Source organism: Homo sapiens, chromosome 1 (genome assembly GCF_000001405.40).
Source record: "Homo sapiens chromosome 1, GRCh38.p14 Primary Assembly".
NCBI classification, from domain to species: Eukaryota; Metazoa; Chordata; class Mammalia; order Primates; family Hominidae; genus Homo; species Homo sapiens.
Window position 1 is genome coordinate 151,589,581 of NC_000001.11, and position 14,916 is coordinate 151,604,496.

The following is a 14,916-nucleotide window of genomic DNA, read 5'->3' on the forward strand; positions in this document are numbered from 1 at the left end:
TTATGAACATTTATGACAGCTTTGCAAAACAAAATGTTTCTGGAAAGCCTAGAAATAAATATACCTAAATGCTAATCATGTTAGCGGGGTGGGTTTTGCCTTTGTTTTTGTCTTCTGTTACCTTTATTCTTTTATCTAAATTTTCTAGAGTGTTTACTCTCTCTCCAGCTAGGCTGTGTTCTCACTGCCTTCTGCACATACTGGGATCATTCCTGTCTTTGTACAATTGCTGGTGTTATTTCTTTTACCAGCAATGCCTTCCTCTTTTGACCTATTAATCCATTAAATATTTACTGATAATCGAATCAAGGGTATTGTATAGCTTATGCAAGATAATGTATTTGAAAACACTTTTGTAAAGTGCTTCACAGATGTTACTTGTTATTGTTAGGTGGAAAAAGAGGAGGAGGAGGAAGAGAAAGAACCTATTATTTGCATGATATTGAGCCAGGTACCGTAGGGGATGTCTGGATGGAAAATATAGAACAGGGTTGTAGCCTTCCAGAAGTTTGCACTTGTCAGATGGATGGGAGAAAAACAGCAGCATGTGAAATAGGTGAATAGTCATGGAACATGTGAAATGCTAATATGAGAGAAGGGTGGAGAGGCTGTGGAGCTAGAACTAGGCTCCGAAGGATTTGGGCAGGTAGATCGGCAGGAAGAAAGCTTGAGTTGGAAATGAATGTGGCATATGTGGGGGATGGTGAGCCCAGCTGAAGAGACCTTTGGGAAAGTGGCAAGAGGGCAAGGAGAGACAAATGGAGTGGGCCTTCTGGGAAGAGTCTGGACTCTAATCTTTATTCTTATTTTTACTTTATTTTATTTTATGTTTGAGACGGTGTCTTGCTTTGTCACCCAGGCTGGAGTGCAGTGGTGTAATCTCAGCTCACTGCAACCTCCTACTCCCTGGTTCAAACGATTCTCCTGTCTCAGCCTCCCAAGTAGCTGGGATTACAGGTGCGCACCACCATGCCTGGCTAATTTTTGTATTTTTGTAATTTTAGAGACAGGGCTTCACCACGTTGGCCAGGCTGGTCTTGAACTCTTGACCTCAAGTGATTTGCCTGCCTCGGCCTCCCAAAGTGCTGGGATTACAGGGATGAGCCACCACACCCAGCCTGGACTCTAATCTTTAAAGTGAAAGGTCTCCATTAGAGGTTTTTGTTTGTTTTTGTTTAAACTAGTATGTAAGTTCTGTCAAGGCAGGGATTTTTCTTGCCTGTCTTGTTCAACACTGAATCCCTAGTATCTAGAAGAGTGGCCCCTGGCACATAGTAGATGCACAATAAATATTAGTTGAAGAGAAGTTGGAATGAATGAATCACTAGAGTGACATGATAAAATAAGAAGGCTAATCCCAAAGAGGCAAAGAGCATGGATTGAAAAGGTAAAGGCTGGCAGCAAGGAAACAAGTAATAGATGTTAGGGCACCTCCAGGCATGAAGCAATGAGGGGCTGAACTGCGATAATGGCCACTGGACTGGAAAGAAAGGGACTGGTGGTGTGAGAGTCACTGGGAAAGAACTGATAGGCCTTGGTGACTGACCAACTGGTGTAGGAGAAAAGGAGAGGAAATAATGAAAGATAACATCAAAGAAAGTTCCTCATTCTTCAAGACTTAACCTGTGTTCTCTTTCGTGAAGCCCTCCCAGAATTCTCAAGCCTGTGTTGTGTTCCCTTTCTGCTCAACACAGATCATCTGTATTACCCTGTTGTAGGATGTCATAATGTACTGTCTTCCATTATAATTCGGACTTTGCATGTGTTTGTTTCCCCAGAGAGACTGCAAGCTTTTAAAGGTCAGGGATATCTCTAATTCCACAGTGCCTAGCCCTAATAGTGCCACAAAGTAGATGGTTAATACGTGCTTACTGATTTAGAACAAGTTTATTCAATCAAGCCATCCTGGGCCGCGTCAGGATGGCTTTGAATGTGGCCCAATGCAAATTTGTAAACTTTCTTAAAACATTGAGATTCTTTTGCAGTTTTTTTTAAGCTCATTGTCTATTGTTAGTGTTAGTGTATTTTATGTGTAGTCCAAGATAATTCTTCTTCTTCCATTGTGGCCCAGGGAAGTCAAAAGATTGAACAGCCCTGATTTAGAAGAAACCTGTATTTTTTTCATCATAAAGAGGCATTTCTGTTTGTTTTTTTTTTTAAATTATTGTTTTCATTTTCTTTCTTAGTTGGCCCTAGGGAATGAGGAAGAGACAGATTCTGGGACCAATATCCTCCTTACGGGAGAGTCAAATGCCAGCTATTATCATTGCCATCAGCAATAAATAATCTTATTCATGCATTCATTCACTTGTTCTTGTATTCAGTCATTCAACAATAGGGGAATAGTGTAGCATAGAGTTTAAGGAGTTAGCATGGGCTTTGGATCTTGCTCATAATCTTAGATATGTTACTGGCCATACTAGTTTGGAAAAGTTATTTAAGCTCTCTAAGCCTTAATTTCCTAATCTATAAAACCAAAATAATAATGCCTATCTAATAAGAACATTTACCAAGTGCTTACATGCACTGTCATTTAATCCCCATTTTACAGATGAGGGATTGAGACATAGTAAGTCACTTGTCCAAGGATGCACAGGTAGAAAGTGTCAAACCAGTTCTAGGTCATAGGTGATTCGATTCCAGAGCACTTGTGCTTAGTGCCATGCCTGACAATCTCATGGGTGTGGCAGTGGCCAGCACAAAGCCATATGAGGGGATCCTATGTGGCACGTTTGGCATGTAGCACATGCTAAATATGTTAATAATTGTCAATAAGTATTTTTTGGCCCAGCACAGTGGCTCATGCCTATAATCCCAACATTTTGGGAGGCCGAGGCGGGCATTTTACCTGAGGTCAGGAGTTCAAGACCAGCCTGGCCAACATGGTGAAACCCCATCTCTTCCAAAAATACAAAAATTAGCTGGGTGTGGTGGCATGTGCCTGTAATCCCAGTTACTCAGGAGGCTAAGGCAGGAGAATTGCTTGAACCTGGGAGGCAGAGGTTGCAGTGAACTGAGATCACGCCATCGCACTCCAGCCTGGGCAACAAGAGTGAAACTCCATCTCAAAAACAAATAATAAATAAATAATAACTAAATAAATAATTTTTTTTAGCATTCAATGTCAGAGAAGATATAGGGCATGGCTTTGAGGATGTGAAGAGGAAAAGATACACAGACTCTGCTCTCAAGTTGCCACCAGTCTAGTAGTGCCACCAGACACTGGTGTAAACCAAAAATAAAAATCTAAGCCTCCCCAACTATCTGAATGGACCCGTCTTCTCAGCCAAGGGCATTCCAAAGTTAACCTGAAAAACTAGTTCAGGTCCTGATTAGAAGCAGGAGCTGGACATACCTCATCATAACCCTCATCCCTTTTGGAATTACTGATGGAACAGACTCTTTAAGTCTGATAAGAAACATTTACAATCTATTGTTTCTGAAGCCTGCTACCTGGAGGCTTCATCTGTATGATAGAAGGTTGGTCTCACAATCCCTTATCTTGACTCAGATATTCCTTTCTATTGATTCTAATTCTATTGATTCCTGACATAGCACTCAGGAGATCCTGAGAACATGTGCCCAAGGTGGTCAGGCCACAACTTGGTTTTACACATTTTAGGGAGACATAAGGCATCAATCAGTACATGTAAGGATGTACATCGGTTTAGTAAAGAAAGGTGGGACAACTGGAAGGGGGTTGGGGGAGCTTCCAGGTCATAGGTAGATTCAAAGCTTTTCTGACTGGCAATTGGTTGAAAGAGTTAAGTTACTGTCTAAAGACTTGGAATCAGCTGGGTGCTTACATGTACTGATTGATGCCTTATGTCTCCCTAAAATGTGTAAAACCAAGTTGTGGCCTGACCACTTTGGGCACATGTTCTCAGGATCTCCTGAGTGCTATGTCACAGGCCATTGGTCCCTCATATTTGACTCAGAATAAATCTCTTCAAATATTCTATAGTTTGTCTCTTTTCATTGACACTTGTATGCCAAGAGGCAGACAATCATAAACTACCACTGCTAAAAGAAACCTTAGAAAGCATCCGATCCAACTCCCTCATTTGACAGATGAGTAAACCGAGGCCCAATGGCGGGGGTGGGGGAGTGAATTACTTTAGGTTGAAATTTGGACAAAAATCTAGATCTACACTGGAGTGCAGTGTCCTTGACCTAAGGAAAGTTCAAAAAGCGGCAGAGAGATGGTCCCTATCCGAGGCCTGCGTGCACTTACAAAGTAGCTTCCTGGGGAAGCAGAAGCGGTTTGGGGAGGGGGCGGGCCAGGGGAGTGGCTGACGGGGAGAGCTCAGCCTTTAGCCAGACCCTCCGGGATCCCCTGGGATCACTTGGCTCACTCGAGTACACAACCCTTTTGCATCTTGTGTACTTCTAAATTTCAAATGGTGACTTCCTCTCCCTTCCCTGTCTTTTAATAAGGGTGTGGGGTAGCGGGGAGATTCTATTCCTGTCTACTTCTCTAACTGTTGCAGGTTCTTAGCTGAAGGACCCAATCTCTCTGATCCTCAGGCTCCTTCAAAACAAAACAAAACAAAACAAAACAAAACAAAACAAAACAAAACGAGAAACCAGAAAAGTAGGGGATGGACTAAGTTCCCTTTTAGCTCTAAAATTCCATGGGTCTTCGGAGGGGAAGACAATGCTTTCAGAGCACGTTTAGCCGGTGAACCTGAAAACGAGGATTTTTTTCATTTGCGAAGTGGAGGTACTCCTGCGCGCCCAGGATGCAGCCACTAGAGGGCAGCAAGTCTTCCAGCACCTGTGCAGGTGGCCGCCGCCGGGCCCCACAGGAAGACAAGCAAGTTGTCTCTTCAGACCTGCCTGGGTCTCTGTAGTTTTCATGTTGTAAATCCTAAACTCAGTTCTTTAGCAAAGAGCAGCCAGCCAAATTAGGATGAGATGAGGGAGCCATTTTGTAAATTAGGCCTAGCACCAGAAGGATAAAAAAAGAGGCCTAAAAAGATACTGGATTCTAGGAAAGCAAATATTTTATGAAAAATTGAAAATGTGTCCGTGTCCTAGTTTAGTCTGCCTTACAGCTCACATCATCAGAGGCAGAGTTTTGAGAAGAACTGGGAGCATTTTAGGCCGGCTGCAGTGGCTCACACCTGTAATCCCAGCACTTTGGGAGGCCGAGGTGGGCGGATCACTTGAGGTCAGGAGTTCAAGACCAGCTTGGGCAACATGGCAAAACCCTGTCTCTACTAAAAATACAAAAAAATTAGCCGGGCATGATGGTGCATGCCTGTAGTCCCAGCTACTTGGGGGGCTGAGGTGGGAGGATCGCTTGAGTCCAGGAGGTTGAGGCTGCAGTGGGCTGAGATCGTGCCACAGCACTCCAGCCTGAGTGACAAAGTTAAACCTTGTCTCAAAACAAACAAACAAACAGACAGACAAAAACAAAAAACAAAAAACAAAACCCAAAAAACAGAAAAGAACTGGGAGCATTTTAAGACTGGTAAAAATTTTGGTAGACTGAAAGGTGATTGAAAAAAAACTAATTTGTAAGGCTCATGTGTTAGACCAGCTTTTCCTAGAGTTCCTTGGGAAGTTTCAGTTCATTTTGCTCATGCTTGTTTGTTTGTTTGTTTGTTTATCTTTGAGACAGAATCTCACTGTGTTGCCCAGACTGGAGTGCAGTGGCGCGATCTTGGCTCACTGCAACCTCCGCCTCCTGGGTTTAAGTGATTCTCCTGCCTCAGCCTCCTGGGTAGCTGGGATTACAGGCACGTGCCACCATGCCTGGCTAATTTTTGTATTTTTAGTAGAGATGGGGTTTCACCACGTTGGTCAGGCTGGTCTCCAACTCCTGACCTCATGATCCACCCACCTCAGCCTCCCAAAGTGCTGAGATTACAGGCATGAGCCACCGCGCCCGGCCTGCTCATGTTTAATAAGCCCTTACTCAGGAAGAATTGGTTCTGGAAGTTTCCAGAAAGTCCACCAAACCATACACTTATTTTTTTTTTTTCTGGAGAGGATGAAATAACCAGAATTATTACATATCCACTGAATAAAAGAGCACCAACCTGGGCTCCTTAAGGGGATAAAAGGAAGGACAGGACAGGTACGGTGGCTCACACCTATAATCCCAGCACTTTCGGAGGCTGAGGCAGATCACTTGAGGTCAGGAGTTCGAGATCAGCCTGGCCAAAATGGCAAAACCTCATCTCTACTAAAAATACAAGAATTAGCCGGGCGTGGTGGTGCATGCCTGAATCCCAGCTACTTGGGAGGCTGAGGCAGGAGAATCGCTTGAACCTGGGAGACGGAGTTTGCAGTGAGCCGAGATGGCACCACTGCACTCCAGCCTGGATGACAGAGGGAGACTCTGTCTCAAAAAAAAAAAAAAAAGGTAGGACAGGAAGCTCAGTGAGGGTGGCAAGGAGGGCTGGGTGCTGGCCTGGCTCATCCTACCATGATGAGGTCAAGTGGCCCCTTCACCTCTCTGAGTCTCGGTTCCCTCCTCTGTCAAATGGCAGGTTCTTCAGAGCTCCAATCAGCAATAATGACATTTCAAATCAACGCAGCTTCCCAAAAGATTCCAGATGACCTGTCCAATGGCCTTTCCAAATGTAGAAGGCCTGGATCCCTTGAGAAGACAGTTCTCACTAGCAGATTATAATCTTGTAGAAGATCTAGAACACTCATGGAACAAAGAGTTAAGGATATCATCTTCATCTAGAAAAATAGTGTTGCTTACTCAGCAGCAATAGGACTAGAACTTCAATTTGTTTTTGCCTTCCTTCTCCCTGGGCCACGGAGGGGTCATGGTCGGGATTAAGCTGCCTGTGGCTTTACTCGTTCAGTCTCATTTCTGGACCTCTGCTACCTTGCCAGTTGTTTCTGAGACACACCATGTCCTTCTTCACCTCTCTGCCTTTCCATGTGTGCTTCCTTCGGCCTGAAATTCTTTTCCCTGCCTTATCCTTCTGAGAAGCTCCTAGTCATCCTTCAAAACCCCACTCAAATGACATCTGTTTGGTGAAGTCTTCTCTGACTCCCCAGAGAATCCCCAGACAGAGTTAATCATCCCTTATCAGGGCTCCCACAGCAGCTGGCACAAAACTTATCACAATGTACACTACTTGTTTGTTTTCATGTCTGCCTCTCCCCCAGGCCTGAGAATTCCTAAGGGAAGGGGTTGATTATTCATCTTCATGTCTGCAGCCCTGGCCCAGTGCCTGGCAGGTAGTAGGGACCCAGTCAGTGCTGGCAGAACTGAAGTAAGTTCTCCTTCCTGTAACCAGCAGAGTGTTTTTCCAGGTGGCTGACCAGGATCACTGAGCAAAAGACAATCACTCCATGAGGCAGCCCTGGGGCACTTGCCTGGCATCAGGAGCTCAACGCAGAGAACTGAATGCTAATGTTTAATGTTTGTGCACTGGAGGGCACACATCATTCAAAATTTGATGGAGGCTGTTTAGAATCTATTTTAATCCCAGAAGATGACATGTAAGGAGAAATTTTCTGATAGTGTGATTAAGCTCTGGGACATGAGTTAAAGGGGTGGTGGGTGTTGCAATGTTGAAGGTCTTTATAGTCTCTGATTTTTTCAGAAAAGACTGTGTGGAGTGAGTAGCTGAAATGTGAATAGATGACCTCTGATTTTAAGGTTATGTAATGGGATTGGATAGGTCTCTTGCTCGCTCTGGGCATTGGACATGGTGTGGGGCTTTGGTAGCTTCAGGTGGAATGACCTGGCCCTCCATGAATGAGTGTTGAGGTTGGACACACGGCTGCCACTTCTCTGTACTGCTCCCCACAGCTTAGCCTCATCTGCAAACTTCGGAGGGATCAGTCCATATGAGTACATATGTGTTGTCAGTAAATAGACTTTTCCAGAGCTGCCAGTATCAGCTGGTGCTCTGTGCTTGTGCTTCTCTTTGGCTCTCTCTGCCTCCTGGTCCCAAAGGCTCTTGGCGTGGATATGGGGATAGCCAGCTGTATTGAAAAAGGATGACTACACAACAAAAGAAGAAAGGTGAGGGTCACCTTCAAGGGGAAAGGTAAGTGGGTGTCATGGTTGATTCCATTCCGTGCTGGGGACTCCCTTGCAGGGCGTTCCTTGGGGGTGGAATTTTTTGACTTGTGCTTTAGTCAAAACAACCATGGGTCTGAGGAAAGAGGAGAGGATGGCACATGAGTAGGACAGAAGTGATCGCTAAGGCTGGGAAATGGCTGTCACTCACATATTAAAATAGCCCAAAAGCCCAACATTAGGGTTATTAGTGAAAATTTTTTCAAGTTTAGCACAATTTTTTTGCTCTATATCTTAAATAGCCTCACCATTGTATTAAACATTTTTTATCGTGGAAAAATATACATAACATAAAATTTACTATTTTAGCCTTTTTTTTTTCTGAGACGGAGTCTCGCTCTGTTGCCCAGGCTGGAGTGCAGTGGCGGGATCTCGGCTCACTGCAAGCTCCGCCTCCCAGGTTCATGCCATTCTCGTGCCTCAGCCTCCCGAGTAGCTGGGACTACAGGCGCCCGCCACCACGCCCGGCTAATTTTTTGTATTTTTAGTAGAGATGGGGTTTCACTGTGTTAGCCAGGATGGTCTCGATCTCCTGATCTCGTGATCTGCCTGCTTCGGCCTCCCAAAGTCCTGGGATTACAGGCGTGAGCCACTGTGCCCGGCCTATTTTAGCCATTTTTAAGCATACAGTTCTGTGGCATTAAGTACATTCACATTGTTGTGCAATCAACACCACCATCTATCTCCAGAACTTTTTCATCTCCCCAACTGAAACTCTGAACTCCTTAAATAACAACTCTCCATTGCCCACTCCTCCTTCCCTCTGGCAACAGCCATTCTACTTTCTGTCTGTATAAATCTGGCTACTCTATGAACCTTATATAAAAGGAGTTATACAATATTTGTCGTTTTGTGACTAGCTTTTTCATTTAGTATAATGTCTTCAAGGTTCATCCATGTTGTAGCATGTGTCTCACTGTTTTTGCTTTTGTTTTGTTTTTTGAGACGGAATCTTGCTCTGTCACCCAGGCTGGGGTGCAGTGGCGCGATCTCGGCTCACTGCAACCTCTGTCTCCCAGGTTCAAGCGATTCTCCCGCCTCAGCCTCCCGAGTAGCTGGGATTACAGGCACCCGCCATTATGCCCGGCTAATTTTTGTATTTTTGTGGAGATGGAGTTTCACCATGTTGGCCGGGCTGGTCTTGAAATCCTGACCTCAGGTGATCCACCCGCCTTGGCCTCCCAAAGTGCTGGGATTACAAGTGTGAGCCACCACGCCCAGCATGTCTCACTGTTTTTTAATTAAACAATTTTGATAAGCATGTCCTGCAAAATCATATTTATTGAAATTTCTCCATCTGTAGTTTATAGTTGGAGGGAACAAACTAAAGAGAAGTGCATTGAATATAATTGGCTGCTTGTCCAACTCCATCCTCCCCTGTCCCCCTCACTCCCATCCTTCTTTGACCCCCGGTTTTGTTCTGGTATTCACTGGCAAGCTCCTCACACTGGGATGGGTCTACTCTTTGACCCAGGGGTAAGTTTTGATTAGTTTAAGTCAATCATGGCATTTTTTTGGCCAATGATTAGTTTAGCAGATTATCATGTGATATACTTTTGTCTCATGAGACATGAGAGAAAGCTGATGCAAGGCTACTCGAAAGGGTTTCTTGCTTTTCCAATAGACTCAGGATGAAATTTCCTCCCTCTCCCTCTCCCTCTCCCTCTCCCTCTCCCTCTCCCTCTCCCTCTCCCTCTCCCTCTCCCTCTCCCTCTCCCTCTCCCTCTCCCTCTCCCTCTCCCTCTCCCTCTCCCTCTCCCTCTCCCTCTCCCTCTCCCTCTCCCTCTCCCTCTCCCTCTCCCTCTCCCTCTCCCTCTCCCTCTCCCTCTCCCTCTCCCTCTCCCTCTCCCTCTCCCTCTCCCTCTCCCTCTCCCTCTCCCTCTCCCTCTCCCTCTCCCTCTCCCTCTCCCTCTCCCTCTCCCTCTCCCTCTCCCTCTCCCTCTCCCTCTCCCTCTCCCTCTCTCCACGGTCTCCTTCCACGGTCTCCCTCTGATGCCGAGCCAAAGCTGGACGGTACTGCTGCCATCTCGGCTCACTGCAACCTCCCTGCCTGATTCTCCTGCCTCAGCCTGCCGAGTGCCTGCGATTGCAGGCGCGCGCCGCCACGCCTGAGTGGTTTTCGTTTTTTTTTTGGTGGAGACGGGGTTTTGCTGTGTTGGCCGGGCTGGTCTCCAGCTCCTAACCGCGAGTGATCCGCCAGCCTCGGCCTCCCGAGGTGCCGGGATTGCAGACGGAGTCTCGTTCACTCAGTGCTCAATGGTGCCCAGGCTGGAGTGCAATGGCGTGATCTCGGCTCGCTACAACCTCCACCTCCCAGCCGCCTGCCTTGGCCCCCCAAAGTGCCGAGATTGCAGCCTCTGCCCAGCCGCCACCCCGTCTGGGAAGTGAGGAGCGTCTCTGCCTGCCCCCCCATCGTCTGGGATATGAGGAGCCTCTCTGCCTGGCTGCCCAGTCTGGAAAGTGAGGAGCGTCTCTGCCCGGCCGCCATCCCATCTAGGAAGCGAGGAGCGCCTCTTCCCCGCCGCCATCCCATCTAGGAAGTGAGGAGCGTCTCTGCCCGGCCGCCCATCGTCTGAGATGTGGGGAGCACCTCTGCCCCGCCGCCCTGTCTGGGATGTGAGGAGCGCCTCTGCTGGGCCGCAACCCTGTCTGGGAGGTGAGGAGCGTCTCTGCCCGGCTGCCCCGTCTGAGAAGTGAGGAAACCCTCTGCCTAGCAACCGCCCCGTCTGAGAAGTGAGGAGCCCCTCCGTCCGGCAGCCACCCCGTCTGGGAAGTGAGGAGCCCCTCCGCCTGGCAGCCACCCCGTCTGGAAAGTGAGGAGCGTCTCCGCCCGGCAGCCACCCCGTCCGGGAGGGAGGTGGGGGGGGTCAGCCCCCCGCCCGGCCAGCCGCCCCGTCCGGGAGGTGAGGGGCTCCTCTGCCCGGCCGCCCCTACTGGGAAGTGAGGAGCCCCTCTGCCCGGCCAGTCGCCCCGTCCAGGAGGGAGGTGGGGGGTCAGCCCCCCGCCCGGCCAGCCGCCCAGTCCGGGAGGTGAGGGGCGCCTCTGCCCGGCCGCCCCTACTGGGAAGTGAGGACCCCTCTGCCCGGCCAGCCGCCCCGTCCGGGAGGGAGGTGGGGGGGTCAGCCCCCCGCCCGGCCAGCCGCCCCGGCCGGGAGGGAGGTGGGGGGGGTCAGCCCCCCGCCCGGCCAGCCGCCCCGTCCGGGAGGGAGGTGGGGGGATCAGCCCCCCGCCTGGCCAGCCGCCCTGTCCGGGAGGTGAGGGGCGCCTCTGCCCGGCCGCCCCTACTGGGAAGTGAGGAGCCCCTCTGCCCGGCCAGCCGCCCCGTCCGGGAGGGAGGCGGGGGGGGGGGGGGTCGGCCAGCCGCCCTGTCCGGGAGGGAGGTGGGGGGGTCAGCCCCCCGCCCGGCCGGCCGCCCCATCCGGGAGGTGAGGGGCGCCTCTGCCCGGCCGCCCCTACTGGGAAGTGAGGACCCCTCTGCCCGGCCAGCCGCCCCATCCGGGAGGTGGGGGGCGCTTCTGCCCGGCCGCCCCTACTGGGAAGTGAGGAGCCCCTCTGCCCGGCCACGACCCCGTCTGGGAGGTGTGCCTAGCGGCTCATTGGGGATGGGCCATGATGACAATGGCAGTTTTGTGGAATAGAAAGGCGGGAAGGGTGGGGAAAAAATTGAGAAATCGGATGGTTGCCGGGTCTGTGTGGATAGAAGTAGACATGGGAGACTTTTCATTTTGTTCTGTACTAAGAAAAATTCTTCTGCCTTGGGATCCTGTTGATCTGTGACCTTATCCCCAACCCTGTGCTCTCTGAAACATGTGCTGTGTCCACTCAGGGTTAAATGGATTAAGGGCGGTGCAAGATGTGCTTTGTTAAACAGATGCTTGAAGGCAGCATGCTCGTTAAGAGTCATCACCACTCCCTAATCTCAAGTACCCAGGGACACAAACACTGCGGAAGGCCGCAGGGTCCTCTGCCTAGGAAAACCAGAGACCTTTGTTCACTTGTTTATCTGCTGACCTTCCCTCCACTGTTGTCCTATGACCCTGCCAAATCCCCCTCTGCGAGAAACACCCAAGAATGATCAATAAAAAAAAAAAAAAAAAAGAAATTTCCTATTTTCTGCTTCTCAGTGTTGTGGCCATGTGTGTTGGTGATACCTGGAGTTCAGCAAGCCATCTTGCCACCGTGAGAGGAGTTGGCCAATGGCCCAGATGATACACCAAAGATGGCAGAGGGGAGAGATGAAAAGGAATCTGGATCTTCTACGTGAATGAGTCACTAAATTAACCAACTCTGGGGGTGGGCGCAGTGGCTCACACCTGTAATCCCAGCACTTTGGGAGGCCAAAGCAAGTTGGACTGCTTGTGTCCAGGAGTTCAAGACCAGCCTCGGCAACATAGCGAAACCCCGTTTCTACAAAAACTACAAAATTAGCAGGGCGTGCTGGTATGTGCATGTGGTCCCAGCTACTGGGGAGGCTGAGGTGGGAGGATCACTTGAGCTCAGGAGGTTGAGGCTGCAGTGAGCCAAGATCTCACCACTCCACTCCAGCCTGGGTGACAGAAACAAACTCTGTCTCAAAAAAAAAAAAAAAAAAATTAACCAACTCTGGAACTCTCTACCTTTAATCCTGACATTTATGTGGGACCATAAATTTCTTTATTATTTACACTTTTGAATTTTCTATGCTTGTAGCCAAAAGCATTCTAAGGACGTATTAAAGATGAAAGCTAAACAGGAACCAAAGCAGAGGACCCAAGTCTCACACATTTTCCCATTGGATAATGCCAACAATGCAGAAACCTCATTGGTCTATTTGTTATGAGGTCTCCTGATCTATTGTATTATTTCTGTAGTGTTGGTCCTGGGAGGTAATTTCTAGGAAAAGGGACCCTTGGAAAATTGAGTTTGATTTTAAGAAAAAAAAGTGGGGGAAGTACTGGAAAAGAGGGAGAAACACAGTTAATAGAGTGACAATTGCCTAGATAGTTGCTGCTGGAAGGATAGTGAAAAATGATAATGATATTTGGGAGTGGCCTTTGAAGCATGACAGTCTGATGTAGTGAGAGGGCATGACAGAAAAAAAAGCCAGCCAGTGTGGCTGTAAGAGCCAGGGAACTTTTCTTTTTTTTTCTCTTTGAGATGGAGTTTCCCTCTCGTTGTCCAGGCTGGAGTGCAATGGTGCAATCTTGGCTTATCGCAACCTCTGCCTCCTGAGTTCAAGCGATTCTCCTGCCTCAGCCTCCTGAGTAGCTGGGATTACAGGCATGCGCCACTACGCCTGGCTAATTTTGTATTTTTAGTAGAGATGGGGTTTCTCCATGTTAGTCAGGCTGGTCTCGAACTCCTGACCTCAGGTGATCTGCCCGCCTCGGCATCCCAAAGTACTGGGATTACAGGCGTGAGCCACCGCGCTCAGCCAAAGCCAGGGAACTTTTCTTCCCAATGGGAAACCCAGTGAACCTCAGAGAGGTGATGTTATGGCAAAGTGGAAGACAGGGGCATGATATGAAGGTGACCAGGGAAAGGGAACACTACAGCTATAGAATGCTGATAGAGAGCCAACAGAATGATAATTACAAGCTAAGCTGACATAAATTCTCCCTCAAGTTAAACCTGTGCTGATTGTATTAGCTATTGTTTAGCGTCTACCCAGCAAGCTTTCTTCTTAGGCACATGACCTGGGCATGGGATCCAGGTTTGGATAATCATAGTTCTTCTAGAAACTTTATTTATTTACTTATTCACTTATTTAAAGACAGTGTCTCGGCCAGGCATGGTGGCTCATGCCTGTAATCCCAGTACTTTGGGAGGCCGAGGTGGGCGGATCACTTGAGGTTAGGAGTTCGAGACCAGCCTGGCCAACATGGTGAAACCCTGTCTCTACTAAAAATACAAAAATTAATTGGGCATGGTGGTACACGCCTGTAATCCCAGCTATTTGGGAGGCTGAGGCAGGAGAATAGCTTGAACCTCAGAGGCAGAGGTTGCAGTGAGGCGAGACCATGCCACTGCACTCCAGCTTGGGTGACAGAGTGAGACTCCATCTCAAAAAAAAAATAAATAAATAAATAAAATAAATAAAATAGCCGGGTGCGGTGGCTCACGACTGTAATCCCAGCACTTTGGGAGGCTGAGGCGGGAGGATCACGAGGTCAGGAGATCGAGATCATCCTGGTTAACACAGTGAAACCCCTCTCTACTAAAAATACAAAAGAAAAAAAAAATTGCCAGGTGTGGTGGCGGGCGCCTGTAGTCCCAGCTACTCAGGAGGCTGAGGCAGGAGAATGGCATGAACCCGGGATGAGCCGAGATCGTGCCACTGCACTCCAGCCTGGGCGACAGAGCGAGACTCCATCTCAAAATAAATAAATAAATAAAATAAAATAAAATAAAATAACACAAAATAAAGTCAGAGTCTTGTTGTGTCATCCAGGCTGGAGTGCAGTGGTGGGATCATAGCTCACTGCAGCCTCCAACTCCTGGGCTCAAGGGATCCTCCCATCCCAGCCTTCTGTGTAGCTAAGACTACAGGCATGTGCCACTATGCCTGGCTAATTTTAAAATTGTTTTGTAGAGACAGGGTCTTGCTATGTTTCCCAGACTGGTCTTGAACTCCTAGGCTCAAAAGATCCTCCTGAAACATCCTCCCAAAGTGCTAGGATTACAGGCATGAGCCACTACACCTGGCTGTGTGGTTTGTTATGTAGCTACAATTAACTGGAATACTCAATGTCCTCCTTAGCTATGTGAAGCAATACGTATTCTTTGCTTAAGTTAGTTTGAATTGAGTTTTTGTCACTTGCAACTAATCTTGACAATTACTTGCAAGGAATCTTGACTAATAAACTCTCTAGTCTCTA

The 14,916-nt window shown here is 48.3% G+C and overlaps 3 annotated features.

Moving 5' to 3' along the window:
* Positions 4,682-5,182: an enhancer, noted in NCBI's record as "H3K27ac hESC enhancer chr1:151566738-151567238 (GRCh37/hg19 assembly coordinates)". NCBI's record gives its function as "activates a minimal SCP1, AML or CMV promoter by ChIP-STARR-seq in primed H9 embryonic stem cells {active_cell/tissue: H9 hESC(primed)}" and the evidence as "EXISTENCE:reporter gene assay evidence [ECO:0000049][PMID:30033119]".
* Positions 5,183-5,683: an enhancer, noted in NCBI's record as "H3K27ac hESC enhancer chr1:151567239-151567739 (GRCh37/hg19 assembly coordinates)". NCBI's record gives its function as "activates a minimal SCP1, AML or CMV promoter by ChIP-STARR-seq in primed H9 embryonic stem cells {active_cell/tissue: H9 hESC(primed)}" and the evidence as "EXISTENCE:reporter gene assay evidence [ECO:0000049][PMID:30033119]".
* Positions 6,662-7,412: a transcriptional cis regulatory region, noted in NCBI's record as "candidate enhancer chr1.8572 targeted for multiplex CRISPR interference". NCBI's record gives its function as "positively regulates S100A11 gene expression in K562 cells {active_cell/tissue: K562}" and the evidence as "EXISTENCE:mutant phenotype evidence [ECO:0000015][PMID:30612741]".